The sequence below is a fragment of the Homo sapiens genome, chromosome 12 (genome assembly GCF_000001405.40).
Source record: "Homo sapiens chromosome 12, GRCh38.p14 Primary Assembly".
NCBI lineage: Eukaryota > Metazoa > Chordata > Mammalia > Primates > Hominidae > Homo > Homo sapiens.
The window spans coordinates 10,947,492-10,973,234 of NC_000012.12; the positions used below are offsets into that span (position 1 = coordinate 10,947,492).

Consider the following 25,743-nt stretch of genomic DNA (forward strand, 5'->3'; position numbering starts at 1 on the left):
CTCCATTTATTTATTTTGAGCCTATGAGTGTCATTAAATTTGAGACGGGTCTCTTGAAGACAGAATACCATTGGGTCTTGCTTTTTTATCCTGCTTGCCATTCTGTGCCATTTAATTGTGTCATTTAGCCCATTTACATTCAAGATTAATATTGATATGTGTGGATTTGATCCTGTCATTGTGCTGTTAGCTTGTTATTATGTTGTCTTGTTTGTGTTGTTGCTTTACAGTGACACTGGTCTCTGTGTTTCAGGGTTTTTTTTATTAGCTGGTAGTGGTGTTCTTTTCTATACTAAGTGCCGCTTTCAAGATCTCTTGTAAGGCAGTTCTGGTGATAATAAATTCCCTCAACATTTGCTTACCTGAAAAAAATCTTCCTTCTCCTTCACTTAAAAAGCTTAATTTGGTTGGATATGAAATTCTTGGCTGAAGATTTTTTTCTTTAAGAATGTTGAATATAGGCCTCCAATCTCTTCTAATTTGTAAGAACTCAGCTGACAGATCTGCTGTTACCGTGATAGAAATCCCTTTGTACGTGACCTGCCCTTTCTCTCTGGCTGCCTTTAACATTCTTTCTTTTATTTCAATCTTGGGAAATCTGATGATTATATATCTTGGAGATGATCTTGTGTAGAATCTTGCATGAGTTCTCTGTATTTCCTGAATATGTCTGTTGGCCTCTCTAGCAAGGTTGGGAAAGAGTTCATGAATGATATTCTGAAATATACTTTCCAAGTTGTTTGCTTTCTGGCTCTCCCTTTCAGGGATTCCAGTGATTTACAGATTTAACCTCTTTTTATAATCCCATACTTCTCAGGGGTTTTGTTCATTTCTTTTTATGCTTTTTCTTTATTTTTGTCTGACTGTATTATTTCAGAAAACCAGTCTTCAAGTTCTGAAACTCTTCCCTCAGACTAGTATATTCTGCTGATAATCCTTGTGATTGCATTGTGAGATTCTTGTATTGCGTTATTCAGCTCTGTCAGACCCATTAAATTCTTTCTAATACTGGTTATTTCATCCTTCAGCTCCTGTATCACATTATTGTGATTCTTATTTTCCTTGGATTGGGTTTTGTCTTCCTCCCAAATCTCAATAATCTTTGTTTCTGCCATATACTGTATTCTGTCATTCTAGCCAGTTCAACCTTGTTAAGAACTCTTGTTGGAAAACTGCTGTAGTCTTTTGGAGGAAATATGATATTCTGGCCATTTGAGTTATTGCATTTGTTCTTTCTCATCTCTGTATGTGGGTGTTTCTTTAACTGCAGTGTATATTAGGCACAGTAAATAGACTTCCTTTCTGGATGTTTTCACCAGGGAGAGCCTTTGTGTAGGGTATTTATTTGAAGCTGACTTTGTGTCTCTGGCTTCAAAGGGGGTTATGTTAGTGAGGCATTTTTGGTGTTGAAGTTTTGGGGTGTAATCCAGCAGGTGACACTTATGCTTATTGGTCAGTTGATAGACTGTTGCTCAATTATATGTTTCCCCTATGTTTCCTCACAGTTGCAGCCATGTTCCCTCTCAGTGTTCTGAAGATGTAGGTTCCTTGTGCCCTTCAGTCCTGGCTACAGTTCAAAACTTGGCATTCCTGAGCTGCCAACTGCAGCCCTGGTGGAATCTCAGTGTTTATATTCCTTTCCCAGTTTAGAGGTAGCACTGAAGAGATCTTAGTAGTGGTTGTGGCCAAGAGTCAACCTCTGGGGGTTCCATCCCAGAGAGATGCAGGTCAGCAAACACTCAGTGCAGTCAGCCCAAGATGGAGGGTTTGTGCATTTGTGGGACCCATGGAAGTCTAACTGGGTTTCTCTCCTTGGGTTGACTGCATCTTGTTGGAGGTATGGATAAGGCACTTAGGATCTTTGCTCCTTCATTAGTCCAAGAGTGGCAAGGGCAGTTCTACTGCAGAGGCCAGTGGCAGAGAGGTTTTCAGTTGCTCCTGGAGGCTTTGTCCAAGATTAGCATTAAGAATTTAAATTTACATTTCTAGATTATACCTTCTTTTAAAAATTAATTTAAAGAAAAGCTTATAATTTTAACTTGTATTTCTTACTACCATAATGCACTATGCTTCTTTGTTAAGAAAAACATGATAATTATAATACCATTGTATCTATGCACATATGTAGTTTTGGCTTAATTTTTTATTATTTTACTTTATTTTCTGATTTTTAAATATTTTTACTATTGTCGAACATAACATAGTTATGAAAAGTAACAAAACTTAAATACACAGTTAGGGAAAAAATTATAAGTTTATCTCCCATGTTTACTACATCTTGGCCAAAAAATAAAATTTGCCAAAAATCCAGACACTCCCCATATATACCTTCTTGTTGATATTGTTTCTCTTTAGTTTTCTTCCTCCCACATATCCCAGTTGTTATGATAATCACTTATATGTTTCGTTTTAGAGTTTTGCCACCAATGTAATAAATTACAATGTATTAAAATATATTTTTGCAAACTTCATATAAATTGAATTATATTGAATATTTTTTCAATATTGATAATTCCTCTCACATCTGTATTAGCTATTTAGCTCAAATTTGTTCATTTTCTTTGTTATATAAATTCTTTGTAAACATGTCACTCTGGTTTGCTTTTTAATTGCTGTATAGTACTCTACCGCATAAGTATGCCATAATTTATTTATCATTTTATCACTGATGGACATTTGGGAGACTTCTCAACTTGAGCTATTAAAACACAGTGATACACACTTTTTTCATATGTATTCCAGTAGGAGTACAAATATTGGGTCTTATGAGGTGATCCTCCATCATAATCAGATTATGTCATACTCAGCCAAAGGAATTCTTTCAATTGATAATCCTAGGAGAAGTGTCTGAAAATTGTCAGTGCCTCATGCCCTTTTCAAAATTAGAAACATCAAAGAATAATTTTTGCACTTTTATATTTATATAAAATATTATTAAACTTAACATTTTACAATTTAAATTCACATTTGAAATGTAACTGTAGTTTAAAAATTACATATTACTCTTTTTTCATTCTACGACTCTGATTTCATATACATTTCTTAAGAATAAATTATATATTTAATATACTTATTTGTATTATGTTGTTAACTTTTCTAATCTTTTTTCTTGAAGTTTCAAATTCTCTTTTGTTATCAGCAAGTAGAGTCATACCAGAGATATTTTCTTCAATCAAACATTATGTCAAATGACTTTGAGAAAATATGATTAGCTATCAGCATATTGTAAGGGAAAATTAGATTGTTTAGATTGTTTAACAACCCTTGAAAGAACTCATTAAAAAAGTGTTAAAATATTAAAATGATTATACATTTAATATAGGCATCATAGGAAAATACAAATTCTATCATTACTAGTTTGGAAAAAAAAAAGATTGGTAGTAAACTTCCCATGTCTGAACAAACACACATTAAAAAAGGGCAAGCCCAGTATCACTGGTCATGATCCCCTTTAAGGTCTTGATCTTAAACTCTCTGCGATCCTGATTTCTGAATGTGCAGTAAAATTCTTGGTTCTTCTAAATTCAATTCTGGGACCAATGTCAAATAGGAAAGCGCTAGGGCATACTAATGGATGAGTTCAATGCTGCCTTTATGGAAAAAATGTAATTTTCAAAACGGCTCAAATTACCTACTATTTAAACAACGTCTCTTCTTGCTATAGGCTTTTTTCATAATAATTTGGAAGTAAAAGCTGATTTCTCATTTGCAAGCATGCAAATGAAGACATATTCTCTTTCACTGTTTTGCAATATTTTCCTCGTGTAGTCATAATTTGTGTTCAGCAACATCACTTGCTATGGAAATTTTTAAACCCAATACATAGATCATATATTGGATGTCTAAATTTCTGAAGGAAGCTTGATCATAACTTGTATCATGACTGCTGTTAATTTATTTTTCTCAATACCAGATACATGTAAACAGAATCTAAATTTTTCCTATCAAAAGCATTCAAGATTTTCTTGGGAAGACATATACACCCATACACATATACATATACCCCACATGAATGGGAATAGTTTTTGTCCTACAGTTTCCAAAATGGAAAATAAATTTTAGGGATGTCACATGCAGGTTGAAATGGCCCTATTTTCCTACTCATAATTTTCAGCCCATTTTCAATATTTATCGAACTGATCTCGCATCCTTAGGCTTTTAAGGAAGTCATTCTCTTAAGTCAATTTGATATACAAATATGAATTATTTAATTAAATATTCAGCATTTTTGTAAATATTCCTTGAGCACTTAAAAAATGTGTTTTCGATTGAAGAATATTGACTTCTCTGTATATGAATATTTGGATATTTTTCTTTCATTTTAACTTATTTTTATTATTTAATGGTTTAAGATTAACAGATGTTAAAATCAGTCTCCAATGTTGGGTTTTATTCATTCTCAGTTTTTACAGTATAATTGTTTCTAAGAAAGGATCTTGGAGTCAGACTGCCAGGAAAGGAAATCCAGTTCTCTGCTTCATATAGGTATGATCCGAGAATCTATTTTACAACAGCCTTAGGATAGCTATCTATTAAATGCAGATGATAATAATACCCTCTTTGGATAGTCTTTATGAAGAGTTAGTACACATTTGTATAACTGATTTCAATATCACCTGTCTGGTTCAGGCACGAAACAAGGATTGCTCGTGTTTTATTTGATCTTGTGTTACTTGATACAGAGAGGTTACCTGTGAAAACTTCCACTTTTGAATAGATGTAATAGGTTCAAGAAAGCAAGATGTCCTTCTGCAACAACTAGCATAAGATAAATAAAGGGGCCAAAATTATGTTTGTATTCATCAAAGAGCTTGCAAGCAATAAGGACCACCTGAAATGAAATCCAGCACAAGGCGAGTCTTTACGTGTGAAGAGCAATTTATAATGCAACCCTCATCACGTCACAGAAAGCTTTTTCTGCAGAAAATGTAAAACTACTCCAAAAATATGCCTGGAAATGCCAAGTGATTAGGCCAATAAAATAATTTTTTTTTAAATACAAAGTTGGAGGATTAGTTTCTCATTTCAAAGTTTACTGCAAGTTTACTGGACTAAATCAAGACACTGTGGTAATTGCACTATGAGAGACAAAAAGAACAATGAAACACAATTGACTGTCCAGAAATTAGTAATGACATTCATGGTCAGCTGATTTTTAAAATCATACAATTGCAATTCAATAGGAATTAATCATTTTTCTCAACAAATGATTCTGGGAAAATTAAATATCCACATGCATAAAGATGAATTTAGGCTACTGCCAATGCCCGCATGGAAGCTGGCAGCCTTGGGCCAGCCTGCACCCCATCCCGGTCCAAGAGCCTATACCCTGCCACACTGCTGCTGCTGGCATGTGTTAACAAGCTTGCGTTACACTGTCACTATTCAATGAAGAGCTTTGGCTGGTACCATCCTTCAGAGTGTTGTGGCCAGCAATTCAGGAACACAATGTCCCTTCCAGCACAGCAGATTCCCAATGTTGAGGTGCCAGAGAACAAAGTCCGGTGTCCAAAACTAGACCCCAGACTTAGAGTTAGAAATCTTTTCCCCCCTAAAATCTACCAGAAACAAACTCATTTGATGGAATCCACAGTGAAACCCCAAAGTGTGTCAAAGAAGATAAAAACAGAAAAAAAAAAATCCAAAGAATGGCAACTTCGAAGACTGAAGAATATCAGCCCACAGAGATGAGAAAGAATCAGCACAATAACTGTGGCAACTCAAAAAGCCAGAGTATCTTCTTACCTCCAAATGACCACGCTAGTTCCCTCCCATGCTGAAAAGGCAGAAATATGATTCAGACCATGGATAGGAACAAAGATCAATGAAATTCAGGAGAAAGTCAAAACACAATCCAAAGATTCTGAGGAACGCCATAAAATGATACAGAAGACACAAACAAAATGGTCATTTTAAGAAAAAATCCAACTGATCTGATAGAGCTGAAAACATCACTTCACGAATTTTGGAATACTAATGCAAGTGTTAACAACAGAATCAACAAAGCTGGGGAAAGAATCTCAGAGCTCAAGAGTAGTCCTCTGAAATTACTCAGTCAGGCAAAAATAAAGAAAAATAATGAAGAAGAATGCACAAAACCTCCAAGAAATATAATATTTTGTTAACAGACTAAATATATGACTCATTGGCATCCATGAAATACAGGAATAGAAGGCAAACAACTTGGAAAACCTATTTCAGGATATAGTCCATAAAAATTTCCTCAACCTTGTTAGAGAGGCCAGCATTCAAATTCAGGAAATGCAGAGAACCCCTACGAAATACTACACAAGAAGAATATACCCAAGACACATAGTCATCAGATTCTCCAAGGCGAAAATGAAAGAAAAAGTGCCATAGGCATCTAGAGAGAAAGGGCAGGTCACCTACAAAGGGAACAGCATTGAGCTAACAGTGGACCTGTTAGCAGAAACTCTACAACCAGGAAGAGATGGGGGCTCATATTCAGAAATTTTTTGAAAAAGAATGTCCGACCAAGAATTTCATATCCAGCCAAACTAAACTTCATAAGTGAAGGAGAAATAGGATCTTTTTCAGACAAACAAATGCTAAGGGATTTGATTACCACCAGACCCACCTCACAAGAGGTCCTGAATGGATTGCTAATCATAGAAAAGAAAGATCATTATCAGCCATAACAAAATCACACTTAAGGCCATAGACCAGTATACTATAAAGTAACCACAGAAACCAGTCTGCATGATAAGCAGCTAACAACATAATGAAAGGATCAAATTCCCACATATCAATACTAACCTCGAATGTAAACAGGTTAAACACCCCAACTAAAAGGCACATAGAGGCAATTTGGATAAAGAAGCAAGACGCAATGGTATAGTGTCTTCAAGAGACTCACTTACATGCAGTGATACCCATAAGCTCAAATTTAAAAGATGGAGAAAAATCTACCAAGCAAATGGAAAATAGAAGCAGGGTTGCTATTCTAACTTCTTTTTGTTTGTTTGTTTGTTTTGAGTCAGGGTCTCACTCTGTTGCCCAGGCCATAGTGCAGTGGCGCAATCTCAGCCTACCACAACCTCTACCTCCTGGTCTCAAGAAATCCTCCCAACTCAGCCTTGCAAGTACCTGGGACCACATGTGTGCACCACCATGACTGGCTAATTTTTGTATTTGTTTTTTTCTTGATAGAGACAGGATTTTGCCATGTTGCTCAGGCTGGTCTCAAACTCCTGGGGTCAAGTGATCCACCCACCTCAGCCTCCTGAAGTGCTGGTATTACAAGTCTGAGCCATGGCACCTGACCTTGATAATCTACTTTCATACAAAACTGTCTTTAACCAGCAAAGATCAAGAAGAAACAGAAGGGCATTGCATAATTGAAAAAGGCTCAATTCACCAGGAAGACATTACTATTCTAAATGTATATGCACCTGACAAAAGAACACCCAGATTCAGAAAGCAAGTTCTCAGAGACCTATTAAAAGATTTAGAAAATCACACAATAATAGCAAGAGATTTCAACACCCCACCAACAGCACTAGACAGAACATCAAGGCAGAAAACTAACAAAGTTATTCAGGACCTGAAATAGACACTTAACCAAATGAACCTAATAGACATCCACAAAACAGTTCACCCCAAAACAACAGAATACACATTCTTCTCATCTGCACATGGCATATAATCTAAAATCAGCCACACAACCTAACATAAAACAATTCCTAGCAAATATGAAAAAAAGAAAACCATACCAACCACATTCTTGGACCACAGCACAATAAAAATATAAATAAATACTAAGAAAATACCTTAAAACCATATAATTACATAGAAATTAAACAACCCTCTCCTGAATGACTTTTGGGTACATATTGAAATTAAGGCAGAAATCAAGAAATTTTTTGAACATAATGAGAACAAAGATACAACATACCAGAATCTCTGGGATATGGATAAGGCAGTGTTAAGAGGAAAGTTCGTAGCAATAAACACTCACATCAAAAAGTTAGAATGATCTCAAATTAATAACATAACTTCACAAGAGAAACTAAACAAACAAGAGCAAACCAATGCCAAAGCTAGCAAAAGACAATAAATAACCAAAATCAGAGCTGAACTGAAGGAAATTGTGATTAAAAAAAACATACAAAAGGTCAGTGAATCCAGGATTTGATGTTTTTAAAAAATTAATATGATAGACCCCTAACCAGACTAATAAAGAAAAAAAAGAGAGAAGATCCAAATAAACCCAATCAAAAATGACCAAGTGGATATTACCACTGACCCCACTGAAATACAAACAATCCTCCCAAACTACTGTCAACACCTCTATGCCCACAAGCTAGAAAACCTAGAAGAAATGGATAAACTGCTGGATATGTACAACCTTTCAAGACTGAATCAGTAAGAAATTGAATCCCTGAGCAAACCAATAACAAGTTCCAAATTGAAAGAGTAATAAAAAGCCTACCAGACAAACAAACAAAAAAAGCCTAGGACCTGATAGATTCTCAGCAGAATTCCACCATGTGTATAAAGAACTGGTACTATTCACACTAAACCTACTCTAAAAAACTGAGGAAAAGAAACTCCACGCTAACTCATTCTACAAGGCTAATATCACCCTGATACCAAAACCAGGCAGAGACACAACAATAAAAGAAAACAACCTCAATAAACATAGATTTAAAAAAAACACTCCACAAAATGCCAGCAAGTTGAATCCAGCAGCACATCAAAAAGCTAATCCACCATAATCAAGCAGGCTTTATCACTGGGATACAAGTTTGGTTAAACACATGTAAATCAATATATGTGATTCATCACATAAGTGAAACTAACAAAAACCACATTACTATCTCAATAGATGCAGAAAAGGCTTTCAATAAAATTCAATGTCTCTTCATATTAAAAACTCTCAACAAACTAGACATTGAAGATATATACTTCACAATAATAAGAGCCACCCATGACAAACCCACAGCCAATATCATACTAAATGGGCAAAACTGGAAGCATTACCCCTTGAAAACAGGAACAAGACAAGGGTGTCCTCTCTCACCACTCTTATTCAACAGTACTGGAAGTCCTGGTCAAAGCAATCAGGAAGAGAAATAAATAAAAGGCATCCCAATAGAAGAGAAGAAGTCAAATTATCCCTGTTCGCAGATAATGTGACTTTATACCTAGAAATCCCCACAGTTTCTGGCCAAAATCTCCTTGGTCTGATAAACAAACTCAGCAAATTCCCAGGATACAAAATCAATGTACAAAAATTAGTAGCATTCCTATAGCAACAAAATTCAAGCAAAGACAAATCAAGAAGGCAATCCCTTTCACAATAGTCCCAAAAAATAAAATACATAGGAATACAGCTGACCAGGGAGGTGAAATATCTCTACAAAGAGTATTACAAGAGACTGTTCAATTAAATCCAATAAGACATGGACAAACGGGAAAACGTTCCAGGTGCATGGATGGGAAGAATCAATATTGTTTAAATGCCCATACTGCCCAAACCAATTTATAGATTCAATGCTATTCCTGTCAAATTATCATTGATATTCTTCACAAAATTAGAAACAAACTATTTTAAAATTCACTGGGAATGAAAAAAAAAAAGCCCAAATAGCCAAGGCAATACCAAACAAAAAGAACAAAGCAGGAAGTATAACATTACCTGACTGAACCATACTACAAGGATACAGAGACTAAAACAGCATGGTAGTGGTACAAAAACAGGCACGTAGACCAAGGGAACAGAATAGAGACCCGAGAAATAATGCCACCCACCTACAACCATCTAATCTTCAACAAAGTTAACAAAAACAAGCCATGAGGAGAGACTCCCTGCTCTATAAATGGTGCTGGGATAACTGGATAGCCATGTGCAGAAGATGGAAACTGGACACCTTTCTTATACATACACAAAACTCAATGCAAGCTGGGTTAAATAATAAAATGTAAAACCTAAAACTATTTTTTTAAAAAACGGAAAAATAACCTAGTAAACACCATTCCTGCATAGGACCTGGCAAAGATTTCATGGCAAAGACACCAAAATCAATTGCAACAGAAACAAAAATTGAAAAGTGGAACCTCATTAAACTGAAGAGCTTCTGCACAAGAAAAGAAACTATCAACAGAGTAAACAGACAACCTGCAGAATGGGAGAAAATATTTCGTAAACTATGCAAATGACAAAGGCGTAATATCCGGAACATATAAGGAATTTACATTTACAAGCAAAAAACAAATACCACCATTAAAAATTTGATAAAGGACATGAACAATTTTCAAGTGAAGACATACACTCAGCCAACAAACATATGAAAAAATGCTCAATATAACTAATCATTAAAGAAATGTGATTCAAAACCACAATGAGATACTATCTCATACCAGTCAGAATAGCTATTACTAAAACCCCCAAAAAACAACAGATTCTGGCAAGATTGTGGTGAAAGGGAATGCTTTCACACTGCTGGTGGGGAGGTAAATTAGTCCAGCCATTGTGGAAATCAGCATGGCAATTTTCCAAAGAACTTAACACAGAATTACCATTCAAACCAGCAATTCCATTATTGGATATATATCCAGAGAAATATAAATTGTTCTACCATAAAGACACATGCATGAAAATATTCATGACAGAACTATTCATAATAGCAAAGACATGGAATAAACCTAACTGCCCATAAATAGTAGACTGGATAAAGAAAATATGGTACATACACACCATGGAATACTATGCAGTCATTAGAAAAAAACAAGATGATGTAGCAATATGGGTGGAGCTGGAGGCCATTATCCTAAGCCAATAAACATGGAAACAGAAAACAAATACCACATGTTCTCACTTATAAGTGGGTGCTAAACATTGAGTACAGATGGACACAAAGAAGGGAACGACAGACACCACGGTCTATGTGAACAGAGAGAAGGAGGAGAGTGAAGATAAAAGAGATACCTATCAGGTACTCTGCTTCCCACCCGAGTGACAAAATAATCTGTACACAAAGTGCCTGAGACATGCAATTTAGTTACATAACAAACCTGCACATGTACCCCAGAATCTAAAATAAAAGCTAAAAAAAGAAAAAAAAACTGCAAAGTGAAATGAGATTTATCTTTAAATAAGGTAGTATTGGAGGCCTCAATGATTCAATGATATCTGAGGAGTGATAACGTTCAGTGTTGATATCTGAGAAAGAGCAATCCAAGAAGAAGGGACACAAGTATGAAGTCCCTGAGGCAATGCTTGGCATATTCAAGAAGTGACACAAAGGCCAGTGTTGTTAGCATGGGATGAGCCAGGTGTTTTAGGGCACACAGGCAGACAAAATCAGATCATTCAAATGATTATAAGACTTCGTAAGGATTTGGCCTTTACTCTGAATTAGATGAAAGCCACTGAAAAATCTGGAGGAGAAGAATGGCATGATCAAATTTGCGTTTTTACAGGTTCTCTCTGGCTGCCACCTTGAGAATACATCAGGATAAAAGGATGTGCAGAACTAGAAAGAATAATTAGAAACTCATGGCAAATATCCTGGCAAGATATGCAGCAGTTTAGACTAGTATGGCAGAGTGATGACAAGGGATTGGATTCTGTAGGTTTTTGAGGGTAGAGTCAACAAAATTTGCTGATGCCTTAAAGATAGGTTCTGAAAGAGAGAAAATATTGACTCCATTTTTTTTTAGTCTAAGCATCTGAAAGTCTGAAGTGGTCATTAGCAGAAGAGGGAAAGACTGTAGAAGAAACAAATCTGACAATTGGGGGAAGAGCAGTATTTTGATTTGGACATGTTAGTTCAAGTTCCTGTTAGGCATCCAAATGAAGATGTCAAATAGTCTATTAGAGAAAGGATTCGGAGACCAGCGTTGAGATCTCAGCTGAAAGATTAAATGTTGGCATCATCAGCACACAGAAAATAAGTAAGGCCATGAGTAGATGAACTTACCTAAGAAGTGGGAGTTAAAAGAGAAGGAAAAAAACGTAAATTTAGACCCTTATTTTATACTGTACACAAAAATTAACTCATAAGTAATTGATCATAGAGAAAAAAACTTAAGAAATAAGATACTAACAGATACTGAGACATTGTACAAAACGCAAGAAATCAAAAATGGGTTAGTAAACCATAATTCTATCTATGTATTTCTTCACTTATATCATTATCTAATTATATATAGATCATCATATAATTAAAATTCCCCACATATCAATCTGCCAATATCTGCAATGCTATATTAAAATGATATATATGAATATATAGATGAATAATCAGCCTTATTCCTCTCTATTGAACCATTTGGCTACATTATCAGTAAGGAGACTGCATGAGATCACCAACAAAACAAGTCTGATTGATTAAAGATTGAAGAATTGAGACCTTCGGCAGTGTGACATTTTCAGTTTAGAGGCAAGAGAAAGAACTAGCAAAGGAGATTGAGAAGAGGTGCCCAGTGAACAACAATAAAATCAGAAGAGGGCAGCATCCCCCCAGTAAACCATGTCCAATGTTGCTAATAGAGCATGCAACATGAAGACTAACCATTGGCAACACGCACTCACTGGTGATCTTAACAAATGTCAGATTTAATGAAGTGGTGACAGCAACAGCCTCATTGGATTGGGCTGATAGGCCAATAGTTGAAGAGGCTTCATACTTTGCTAAATAACTATAAATCAAGAGGAAAACAGAGTTGAAAAAGCTGAGTCCTGAGGTCAGGCACTGATATGACAAATCAAAGACCCTCAGCCAGTTCTCAGGACTGAGCCAATTCACAGAAGCAGAGATAAACGACTGAAAGGAAGCTTAAGTCCTCTTGATAATGAACACTGGGGGTGGTAGTACATTTTATATCCCTATTCAGTTAACCTATCTGGCCTCTGCCAAAACCAGATGGATTATCAGATGAATGCACATTAGCATAAACTTAAATCGCACTTGCAGATGCTCTCTAGGATGTGGTACCTTCACTGAGCAGAACGTGGTTTCTGGTACTTTGTATGTGGCTTTTGATTTGGCGAATGTTTTTAAATCTACACCCTTTGTGAGAGAAAATCAAAACAATTTGTTTGTTGGGGTAAGAACAAAAGCACTGCTTCACTGTTTTATGTCAGAGCTGTGTCACTTCTGTTTTCAGTTTAATTGGCATTTTGCAAAACATCATGCTAACTCAATATATTAATAATATTACTTTAATTGGTATTCATAAGCAGGAAGTGGCAAGTTCCTTAAATATAGTAAAATAGTATTACTTTGAACAGAAGTAAAATATCAGAAGAAGAGAGACATAAACCTCAGCAGATTCAGGAACTTATAACATAGATGGTGTTTTTACAGGTCCATGCTCCTGGTCCTTGTGTCAAAACATCCTTTTTAAAGTAAACGGCATGTTTCCTGATACATAATTCTTCTCACTAAAAAAGAGGCACAGTGTTTTTTGGGCCTATTGGGATTTTGGAGTCAACATATTCCTCATTTGAGGATATTGCTCTGACTCACTAATGGAGTTTCCAAAGGCCATTGGTCTCAAGTGGAAACCAGAACAAAAAAGGGTTCCATAACAGCTATAGGGTCTGGCCTAAGCTGCTCTGCCCGTTGTGCCAGATGATCCAGCAGAATTCAAACATGCTAGAGGCATGCATAGTGGGCATTACAGGACTCTGTCCAAGTCTCTGACAAATCCACAGGAGAGGGGAGAGAAAACTCCTAGGGAATTAGTGCAAGACCATTCCCTCTTCAGCAGAGGAGTGCCCTCTGTCTCAAAAACAAAACAGCAGTTGCAGAAGATTAGAGACAAGAGAAAGAACCAGCAAAGGAGATTGAGAAGAGGTGCCCAGCGAACAATGATAAAATCAGAAGATGGCAGCATCCCCCAAATAAACCAGGTTCATTGCTGCTAATACAGCATGCAACAGGAAGACTAATGATTGCCCCTCTAAGCATGAGCGCCTCTAAGCACAAGACCCTGTGCAACAGTGGAAATCATATGCCCATAAAGCCAGCCATGATTGGAAGACATGAGCAAATCTGAGTGGTACAAGGAGTAGACAGTATTGGACTTAAACATGTGCTTCCTCAGATTCCCTTAACTGTCACTTATTCTCTAGGCCAGCACCTTGCCTGATCCAGATCATCCTACCATCCTTCCTTGAATGGAACACCACACTGTGGGCCTGAGGTCTGTCTTTCATAACAGCCACCAACGGACTGGATGATGGAAAGCAGAACAGCAGAGATGGTAGTTCCGCCTCAGGGAAACCCTGGCCAATGGAAAATGGAAGACAGAAGACAGCTGAACAGATACATTCTCCCTCCTCTCTCGCTTCCATGGACTAATGCTGGCTGTGGTATTCCCCTTGTAGCCTTTCCGGAAAAGTACTGGGGTCCAAGTGCATGCATCTGATGACCACCATGCTGTCTCTCTCACCTTATAATGAAGTTGCCACAACAGAGTCACATACACACAACACATTGTTACAATACATCCCAACACGTTCTTTCACATCTGCTCTTGCCTCACTTTCCACGTGCTCTTGCCTCAATTTCCACGCGTCCCTGCCATTGCTGCCCTGGACTTACCTTCCAAAGAAATGTTATCACTTTAATATCAGACACTGGCTCTAGTTCTAGACCTCCAAAGCTAAGATATTCATTCAGTGGTATAATTTATTTTTCACTCACTTTTCTGTGATTTTATAATATGGCAATTAAAATGTTCATTTAGAAAGGATATTAAAAATATTATATAAAAATCACATTTTAGTAAGGTAATTCATAACTAACTCAATTTTTAAAATTGAAATGCATTTTTTACATAATAACCAGCTAGAAATATCAGAATACAAATATATCATTCACAATCGAGAAAATATATACAAATATCCAAAAGTCTTTTATATGCTGTTTTGAAGGTATTGTAGTGGGTGCCATGTGATTTTGATGTTCCACCTTATCTCCATGTTTTTAGTCTGATATAGCTGCATCAAGGCTATATATAGCGATATTTCCCCTGCAAGTATGGAATAACCACACTTTTACTCTGAAAAATGCTTCTTCTTAGATAATTCTGTCATCTCAACCAGAAACCAGAATAGGCAAATTCATGCAACTGTAGATTTTGTGATGCTTCATTTTCACTGGTTCACCACCCCAAGACATGTAATTTATTACTCTATTCACTAACTCATTTGTTCTTCAAAATATTTTTGGCTATCTATTTTTTATGTGATCTTTTAGGTCCTGGCAGTCAACAATAAGCAAGGTCTGCAGGATCTCTGTTTTTTGTTGTTGTTGTTTTTTGAGACGGAGTCTCGCTCTGTCGCCCAGGCTGGAGTGCAGTGGCGCGATCTCGGCTCACTGCAAGCTCCGCCTCCTGGGTTCATGCCATTCTCCTGCCTCAGCCTCCCGAGTAGCTGGGACTACAGGCTCCCGCCACCACGCCCTGCTAATTTTTTTGTATTTTTAGCAGAGACCGGGTTTCACAGCGTTAGCCAGGACGGTCTTGATCTCCTGACCTCGTGATCCGCCCACCTCGGCCTCTCAAAGTGCTGGGATTATAGGCGTGAGCCACCGACCCCGACCAGGGTCTCTGCTTTTATGGTGCTTACGTTGTACCAGGAAAGATATATAATAAACAAACAAATAACTAAATCAAATGATTTATCTCAAGGTTTAGATAACATTGTTAAAATTTCATAACTCCGAGAATTGATACAGTCTGTAGAATTTACTTGTTTAATGACGTTATACATTTTTTCCTATAATAGAACTTGCTATCACTGAATATGTCAACACACTTTCTCTCACTGCATTATTTGCAACTAGATTATAATAAAACATATATTTAAGTCATTTCCTATCATCAATACATAGATGTCATAGACGTCATTTTAGAATTTGCAGAAAGTATAATTCAAATGATTTTCATAATTTCTATACTATTTTTACATGGAGTATTTTTTCAAGTAATAAAGATTTGAGTTCATTTATGTGATTTTTAAAAAGATTTTTAAATGTGGAAGATAGTGGAGAGAATCGGCAATTTAGGGGCTCTGAAGCAGTTTAGGAAAGAAACGGAAATATTTGGTATCCGATCTCAATTTCAAAAAAGGTTTTCTTTACCTCAAAAACTGGAAGAAATGACTTTTCTACCTGTATATGGAGACTTATGACAGCAGTTAAGAGGTCAGCATTGTGTTTCTTTCTTCATCCCTATTACAGATATGACTTTTTTCTCAGTTGTTCACATATTTGTATAAAATCTAATATTCCTCAGTACTGATGATGGTAGACATATACAAAATGTATTCCAAATATATTTTTCATCCTTGAATTTTATTTTGTGCATAGTTTTCTAACAATAATTGTTTGCTTTAAATTAAACATAAAATTAGAATTCATTATGCAACAAAAACTACCCCAAAGATAAAACTTCATTATTGATTTAGATTAGAATGCGCATACCATCCAAAAAACTAGACGTTCAAATAATCACGTTTAAGCACACTATGGTACATACGTATGGTACAAATAACAGTGGAAAAGAGCAATGATTTTGTGAAATAAGCTGTAAGTTCTTAACAATTATAAATAGAGATCATAAATTTTTCAAATGAAACATGATAATATGAACTGTATTGTGAATACACATGGCTTCATGATTCTGAAAAATTTCTTACAATATTTTCTATAATTTGGCAGTTTGTAAAAAATGATTATGTTATTGCCACTCTCTCTTAAGTGTTTCATATACACATACACATGCATATATAGATACTTTTTAGACTAACTTTAGGTAAAAGACTTTTCTAGATATACTTTTGGAAATTACTCAAAAACATACAATACAGAAAAACCAGTGGAAAGTATAAAATGTTCCAGACAACATCAGTTTGTTTTCTCTTGGAGACACACGATGTCCCACTTGTGAATCTAGAAATTTGAGAGTTTCAGGTCTTTTACTCAGCACTTAATCTGACACAAAATCAAAAGAAAGGTCTGTTTCAGCTTCTTGCTTCCCCAAATTAGGATGAATGAATGAAATGAAGGGTATATAATTGCAGTAGTTTGGCTGAGCATGAGGACAGGTTCGTTCTACAGCCTCCTCCTAAAATTCCAAATCGATGTGATTAGGGACAGAAAGTAAACAGCAAATAACAAGAGGAAGGAGGTCACCGTTTGCAAAGCTTTTATGTGGACCTTGGTGTTGGAATCTGGAGATCCTTTGCCATGGAACTGCATCTTCTTGAGATGTTTACACAAAGAACAGATTAAGAGCAGAAAAGATAACAGGGACAGAGTAAAGGGTATTAAGTTTGCAAGCGTGGTTACAGTCATATCTGAAAGGTGCGTCGGATCACTCAATTTGATCTCCCAACTCACGTTTCCTTCATATTCTTTTGTCCACATACTCTCATCCATGTTTACCACAACAAGATGACAAACCAAAAATAACAAAGACCCCAATAGTATCACTGGAATGACACTCTTAATTCTCCTTTTTAAGTGAAGAAAAATAAAGTTGGAGAAATTGGCAATCTTGAGGAAATAAAATATGCTGAGGCTAGTAGCAACCCAGATGCTGAAATGGTTGGTTACAGCCCAGGCATTAATAGTAGTAATTCTTACTCCTAAACTATATGAACCTGGATTCAAAACAGTTGCATACCAATGTAATAATATTACCCAGAGCAAACCAACTCTGGAGACTGCCAGAGCAGTGAGAATTTGGTCAGCAAAGGAGATCTTTTGTCTCTTGACCCACTCAATGGAATTTACCAACACTATGAAGCCATTAGCAAAATTCCCAAGAACAAATGTAACCACTACTAGAATGGAAAAAATGATGGGTAGAAAAGTTATCATGTCTGAACAGACAAAAAGATAGAATAAATGAAGGCCTAACAGCACTGGCTGTGATCCTTTAATATCCTGACCTTAAATTTTATGTGGACCTGATTTCTGAATGTGCAGTAACATTCTTTTTACTTTCAAATACTGTGACCAGTGTCAAACAAGAAAGTAGCAGTTTATGCTAATTGATAGTTCAATAATGTATTTATGGAAAACATTCTAATTTTCAAACAGCTCAACTTAATTCATTCATTCAATGTCTGTTCTTGTTAGAGACTTGTTAGATACTGAAGTAGAAGTGAAACCGGAATTTTCATTTGCCAGCATGCAAATAAAGACATATTCTCTTTCAGTGTTTTGCAATGTTTTCCTCATTTCACCTTTCCATAATTTGTGTTCAGTAACTTTAGCTGTTTGTTATGGAAAATGTGCCACATATTTCACACAGTAAATGCCTAAATCTTAAAGGGAGATTAGTTATAACTAGGATCATCACCATGACCAATTTTTATGCTAGATTTAAATAGACAAAATCCAAACTTTTTAATCAAAGTCATCGAAAATTTTCTTGGGAACCATGGGAATGCCAATACACCTTAAAATCTTATTCCTGCTAACCAGTACTTTTGTATGACATTAGTGTTAACAAGCTCATAAAACATACACACATAGACAGACACACACACATACACATACCCATCCAGAAAAAATGAACTTTTAAAATAATTTCCAAAATGGAAAATGCATTTCCAGGAGGTCATCCTGGTGAAATTAGTCCTATTTTCCCACTCAGGGTTTTCAGCCCATAAAAATATATTAAACATATCTCTCATACTTAGACCCTTGGTAAAGTTACTCTCAAGTCTATTGAATGTCTAAATATTTGTTATTTCATTAAAATATTCAACATTTTTGTAAATATTCCTGAGTATCCCATTATTTGACATATAATCTTGCAGTATTTTCCCACCACACACAGGGTGACTACCTTGCCCCTGGACTCTGAGTACACTCACATAGCTTGCTTTGATTAACAGAAAATTGGTAGACTTCACACAGAGGTTTGAGATGGTTTCCACATTGGAGTTTCTTTTCCTTTTCTGTTTATTATGAGAACATTGCCTGGCTACTACTCTGTTCCCAGAAGGAGAATGAGAAAATAATGGAGTCAGTTTGTCCTTGCCTGATCCAGCCTACTTTGTCCAAACTCTAACTAATTCCAAGATGCAGAACTTGGCCCATCTCATATCACCAGAGCCATCCAGCAAACCCAGCTTAGAAAAACTGAATCCAAAGACATGTGAGATATCAATATGTAATGTAGTGTTGGAGAGGTTTCTCTGGCAGAAAAACCTAACTGATATAGGTACTCTGCAAAACCAAGCGTGTGGGAAATATGTCCACCCTTGTTGTGTCAGGAATAGAGGAGCCAAAAGAAAAATAGATAAGGAATGGCAAAGTTTTGTCATGCAAGGTAGATAATTAAAGGTAGAGGCTGGGCGCGGTGGCTCACGCCTGTAATCCCAGCACTTTGGGAGGCTGAGGTGGGCAGATCAAGAGATCAGGGGATCGAGACCATCCTGGCTAACACGGTGAAACCCCGTCTCTACAAAAAATACAAAAAATTAGCCAGGCCTGGTGGCGGGCACCTGTAGTCCCAGCTACTTGGGAGGCTGAGGCAGGAGAATGGTGTGAACCCCGGAGGCGGAGCTTGCAGTGAGCGGAGATGGCGCCACCGCACTCCAGCCTGGGCGACAGAGCAAGACTCCGTCTCAAAAAAAAAAAAAAAAAAAAAGTAGAAAAAAACCTTTGGAAAGATCTGGGTACTTCAGGTAGCGTCTTCTCTTATTTCTACATGTTGTAACTAAAATAAAGTTCCCACTTCAACTCTCTTAGAGTTGTATGTAAAGATATATAAATGGTGAATTTTTTCCTAGGTATATAATGAGCAGAGTAATCAATAATTTTTATGGTGCACTTCTCCTAATAAATAATTTTCAAATAAAATTATAATGCACACTTAGAAATGAGTCAAAATAAAAATGGTAAACACAGCAATGTATTATAAACACTCATGTAACCATCAAATAAGGCAAGACGTGGAACATTGCAAAGAGCCTAGGTCCACCTCCATGCTGCTTTTCAAGCCCCTAAATGTTTCTTCACATCTGGTAACAATTTTCTACTTTTCCCAACACTTGGGTCACACAATACAATAAAAGCTTCGTCTAGGCCTTATCCTGCAAGTTGGAAGAAACAGGAAATTGATTTCATGTGATTAGCTTTTTGTTTTGTTTTGTTTTGTTTTGTTTTTGGCATAGCAGCTTGATGAGTCCAAACCACAAACTCTCCTTACAGGGAAATTCAATGAACAGCACTGGATCTCAAAATGCCATTCCAATAAATAAAATATAGTACCTCAATTACAAATACACCATTGTATTCCATGAATTAACTTTTATTTTGCTTATAATGTAGAAATGGGGCTCTTTGCCTTCAAACTGCATCATTACTCAAGTGAGAGATCAAAGAGGTGAGGGGAAACTTACATTTGATTTGTTTAGTCCTAAAATCCTCTTTTTAAAAATAAGAGATTAGGGTGTGGTGGCACGTGCCTGTCATCTCAGCTACTCAGGAGGCTGAGGCAGGAGAATCGTTTGAACCCAAGAGGCGGAGGTTGCAATGAGCTGAGATGGAGCCACTGCACTCCAGCCTGGGCTAGAGAGCGAGACTCCGTCTCAAAAGAAAAATAAATAAATAATAAAAATAATAAACAAAAATAATAGATTGATCATGAAATGGTTTATCTCTCTGATTGAAGAATTGTATTTACGTTAAAAACTAAATGTTTATTATAGTGTTCCTTGGATTAGTTTAAGGTCATCCATAAATAACTATTTTCTTAAGCAATGTATTTTAAACTAAACTAAACTTAATTTCTAAATCTAAATGTATTTAGCTTGACTTGAACTTTACCGTTTACTAATGTAACTTGCCCATAATGATATTCTTTATTTAAATTACGTAGGCATTATCCAATTTATGAATGTACATATTTCAAAAAGTAAATTATTTAATGGGATAGATGTAGATAGAGATGATGATGATAGCTACAAGGTAGACTGCTAGCTAATAAATGTGACCATTCATTTTTCTAAGTGCTACAATTCAGGGTAATGGGATAACACAATTATTCTTTCTCCTGGCTTTATGATTCTCATATTATTCTCAGCATCAGGGCTTAGACTGAAATAATACCTTTGATGGAGGACATTTCCCTTACCCCTTCATGGGAGGGAACTGGGGCTCACTGACGCTAGAACCAGCCAGCTGCTTTAGGGCTGGCAGGGGTGAAATCCACTCGCTGGGACCCACTGCGCCCAGCCCTCATGGGAGGGAGCACACAGGTGAACAGGTGCAGGAGCACTTTTGGATGCCAGCAGGAACAAATTCTGTGCAGGCCCCGCAGCAGCATCTGGGGGGGTGCCCGCACCCCTGAAACCTCGAGGGGGAGGGTGTTACAGTGCTCTTTTAGCTCTGCTATCTGCAGACGTCTTAAGTGTTAGTAGCTCAGTGGGCCCTTTGCCTTTTCGCTTGAGGCGGCTGCCTCTTGCCAGCAAGGGCAGAGGTTCAGTGTAACAACTTTTCGTATCTGCATTCCTGGCTCCTGAGCTCTTGTCCAGCTTCCAAGAAAAATGAGGTTGCACAACCGAATTGGAGAATGGTAAATGAGGGAGATTTTATTTTGATGGAAGTGACTCTCAGCAGGAAGGGGAGCTGGAAAGGGAATGTGAAGCAGGAAGGTAATCTTCCCCTGAAGTCCGGCTGTCTCCAGCCAGACTCTTCTCGAAAGTCACGCCTTCAACCTGTCCCTCTGAAGTCAAGCCACTTCTCTCCAACGTCCCACCATAGTCTACAACATTGAGCTGCTTCTCCTCTCGATCTTCAGCCACTTCTCACTACCGGTGGAGCCTGGGGTTTTATGGGCATAGGATGAGGGGTGGGGCAGGCCAAAAAAGGCAACATTTGAGTGGGAAAACAGGGATAGAAGTACTCCCTTTGGGCCACAGTCTCAGTCTATTTGGCTTGAGAGTGGGGCTTTAGCTGAGGACCCGCCCTTTTCTGTCTAGAATTTCCCAGCCTCCTGCTCCTATCACCTTCACATAGTATTTCATCAATGACAACTTTAAACCAACATATTTCCAAAAGTTTGCTAGCTATTTTTTTTCTTTTATTAAATTCTAAAAATCATAGCAAACATGTCTTCCAGCAAATAGCACCTGCTCTTTGGTTTTTCTGTTTTTTTGTTTTTTTGCATTTTCATATGAACATGTACAAATACTCTGTGCAATTATACAGTACGTAAAATTTATCATATGTATCAATAGCATCATTAGCAAGCCAAATTCTTTCAAATGGTTATTTGCATTCTCAGCTACTGTGATGAAATATGGAGTATTTTATTTTATTTTATTTTGAGATGGAGTCTCACTCTGTTGCTCAGGCTAGAGTGCCATGGTACAATCTCGGCTCACTGCAACCTCTGACTCCCAGGTTCAAGCAATTCTCCTTGCATCAGCCTCCTGAGTAGCTGGGATTAAAGGCATCCACCACCACACCCGGCTAATTTTTGTATTTTTAAGCAGAGATGGGGTTTTGCCATGTTGGCCAGGCTAGTCTTGAACTCCTGACCTCAGGTGATCTGCCTGTATCGGCCTCCCAAAGTGTTGGGATTACAGACGTGAGCCACTGCACCTGGTCCCTTGGAGTATTTTATTATAGCAAGCAATGCAGCACTACACATACAAAAACATACCCAAAGATTATACTAAGTAAGTTTTACACTTTAACACATTTAACTTTCTGGTTTTTTCTCTAATAGAGAGCCAAAAAATTATAGCAACAAAATATTTTTTCCAACATATATGTGTGCACATACTATGATTTTTGAATGGTAACAATATGACTGAAATTATTTTATTTAAGGATAAATTTAGGGATAATCATCCGTATAATTTAATATCTACAGTACCATAATTTATTGAAAATTCAGTAATTTCTGTCACTTTGTGCATTGTAAATAAATTGGAAATAAGAACAAAAGGTGTCCAGCAATGTATCAATATTCAAAATTTGATGTTTCAAATTAAGATTAGCATTAAGAATTTGAATTTATAGTTCTTGCTTATATATTATTTTTAAAATTAAAGAAAAGTTTTTTTGTTTTTTTTTTTCGTTTTTGAGATGGAGTTTCATTCTTGTTGCCCAGGCTGGAGTGCAATGGCACAATCTCAGCCCACTACAACCTCCGCCTCCCAGGTTGAAGCGATTCTCCTGCCTCAGCCTCCCTAGTAGTTGGGATTACAGGAGCCCGCCACCACAATCAGCTAATTTTTTGTATTTTCTAGTAGATACGGGCTTTCACCATGTTGGCCAGGCTGGTCTTGAACACCTGACCTCAGGTGATCCACCCGCTCAGCCACCCAAAGTGCTGGGATTACAGGCGTGAGCCACTTTGCCCGGCCCTAAAATTTTAACTTGTGTTTATAACTACTATAATAGTCTATTTGACTTTATTCAGCAAAAACTCTAATAATTACAGTTCTATCTATGAGAATATGTAGTTTCAGTGTAATTTTATATTCATTATTTTACTTTTTTTGCCTTTTAAATATTTTTATTATTGTGGAACATAGCATACAGACAGAAAGCAACAAAACCTAAAAGCACAGTAAGAGAAAAAGTTATAACTTTACTCCCCGTGTTTACCACATCTTGGTCAAAAAATAGAATTTTCCAGCCATCCAGACACTCCCCATATATGCCTTCTGTTGATCCCATTCTCCTCTTGTTTTCCTCCTCCCTACTATCCATATTGTTGTAATAGTCACTCATATGTTTCACTTTAGAGTTTTGTCACCAATGTAATAAATTGCAATGTATTAAAGATATATTTTTGAAAACTTTATATAAATGGAATTAAAATGAATGTTTTTCACTATGGATAGATCCTCTTACACTTGTGAGTATTATCTAATCAGCTCAAATTTGTTTATTTTCTTTGTTATATACATTTCTTGTAAACATGTCTCTCTAGTTGGTTCATTTTGATTACTGTATAGTACTATACTATTATATAGGTATGCCATAATTTATTTATCTATTTTATCACTGATAGACATTTGAGAAACTTCTCAACTTTAGCTATGAAAACACAGTGATATTCATGTGTGTGTATACATTTTCTGGTAAGAGTACCTGTACTGAGTCTTAAGATGTGCTCCTTCATCTTCATCAGATAATGCCATACTAAGCCAAAGAATTATATTAATTTATACTTCTAGGAGCAGTGTTTGAAAATTCTCATTACTTCTTGTTCTTTTCAAAATGAGTAATATCAGAATAATTTTCACACTTTTATATTTATATAAAAATTATTAAACTTAACATTTTATAATTCTTTTTCTATTCAATTTTAAAACGTAACTTTAGTTCAAAAATTACATATTACTCTTTTATCATTCTATGATTGTGATTTTATACACATTTCTCAAGAATGAATTGTATATTTTATGCACTTATTCGTATTCTATTATTAAATTTTCTAATCATTTTTCATGAAGTTTCAAATTCTCATTTGATATCAGCAAATAGAATTATACCAGAGATATGCCTTCAGTCAAACATTATGTCAGATCATTTTGAGAAAATATGATTAGTTATTGGCATGTTGCAAGGGAAATTTGGAGTGTTTAACAGGCCCTGAAAGGACTCATACAAAGTGTTGAAATATAAAAATGTTTATACATTTAATATAGGTGTCATGGGAAAATACAAATTCCACCATTACTAGTATGGAAAAAAATGATTGGTAGTAAACTTCCCATGAACTGAACAAACACACCTTAAAAAAAGGCAAGTCTAATATCACTGGGCATGATCCCCCTTAAGGTCCTGACCTTAAACTCTATGTGTACCTGAATTCTGAATGTGCACTAATATTTTTGATGCTTTTAAATTCAGTTGTGTGACCAATGTCAAGCAGTAAAGCACCAGCACATGCTTATAGATGAGTTCAATGCTGTCTTTATGGAAAATATGTTATTCTCAGAACAGCTCAAGTTAACTACTATTCATACACTGTTCTTTCTATTTTTTCTTTTGAAAAAATTTGAATAAAATTTTTCATAATGACGTTGAAGTAAAAGCTGATTTTTCACTTGCAAGCATGCAAATGAAGACATATTCTCTTTCATTGTTTTGCAATTTTTTCCCTCTTTAACTTCTCCATAATTTTTGTTCAGCAACATCAGTTGTTAGGAAAATTTTAAAACCCAATACATAGATTATATATTGGATATCTACATTTTTGAAGGGAGTTTGGTCGTAACTAGAATCATGGCCAAAGTGAATTTGTTTTCCTCAGTACCAGATTTATGTAGACAGAATCCAACTTTTCCTATCAAATGCATTCAAGATTTTTTTGGGAACCCCAGGAAGGCCAGTACTCTTTAAAATCTGGTTGCTGCTAATACCTCTGTATAACCTTATTGGTAACAAGCCAATTAACACGTACAAAGCACCACAACCCACCCCCCCCGCCCGCCCACACACACACCACATGGATGGGAGAAATTATTGTCCTATAATTTTCAAAATGAAGAATAAATTTCAGGGAGGTCATGTAGGTTGAAAAGTCCTTATTTTCCCACTCATGCTTTTTAGCCCATTTTCAATATTTATCAAACTGATCTCTCATGCTTAGGTCTATAAGTAAGTTATCCTTTTGGGTCTATTAAGTCTTTAAATATTAATTATTTAATTAAAAATATTAAGCAATTTTGTAAATATTCCTTGAGCACTTAAAAAACATGTGTTTTCCACTGAAGAAACT

At 36.3% G+C, this 25,743-nt stretch overlaps 2 protein-coding genes, 1 long non-coding RNA gene and 1 pseudogene across 5 annotated transcripts in view; all 4 read right to left on the reverse strand.

The window, feature by feature from the left end:
• Nucleotides 1–25,743, reverse strand: part of PRH1-PRR4 (PRH1-PRR4 readthrough) — a 325,777-nt gene that overhangs the window by 101,643 nt on the left and 198,391 nt on the right. The window lies entirely within an intron of this gene.
• Nucleotides 1–25,743, reverse strand: part of PRH1 (proline rich protein HaeIII subfamily 1) — a 290,647-nt gene that overhangs the window by 66,527 nt on the left and 198,377 nt on the right. Inside the window, exon 4 of one of the 3 annotated variants that reach the window (NR_133575.2) lies at nucleotides 16,313–17,103. The exons of the other annotated variants lie outside the window; for them this stretch is intronic. The gene's annotated coding sequence lies outside the window, so the exon portion shown is untranslated. Of the gene's footprint in view, nucleotides 1–16,312; nucleotides 17,104–25,743 lie in introns of those variants that run through there. 3 annotated transcript variants of the gene reach the window in all.
• PRH1-TAS2R14 (PRH1-TAS2R14 readthrough) overlaps nucleotides 1–25,743 on the reverse strand; it is a 234,202-nt gene that overhangs the window by 10,082 nt on the left and 198,377 nt on the right. The window lies entirely within an intron of this gene.
• TAS2R15P (taste 2 receptor member 15, pseudogene) lies at nucleotides 16,912–17,895 on the reverse strand (annotated as a pseudogene).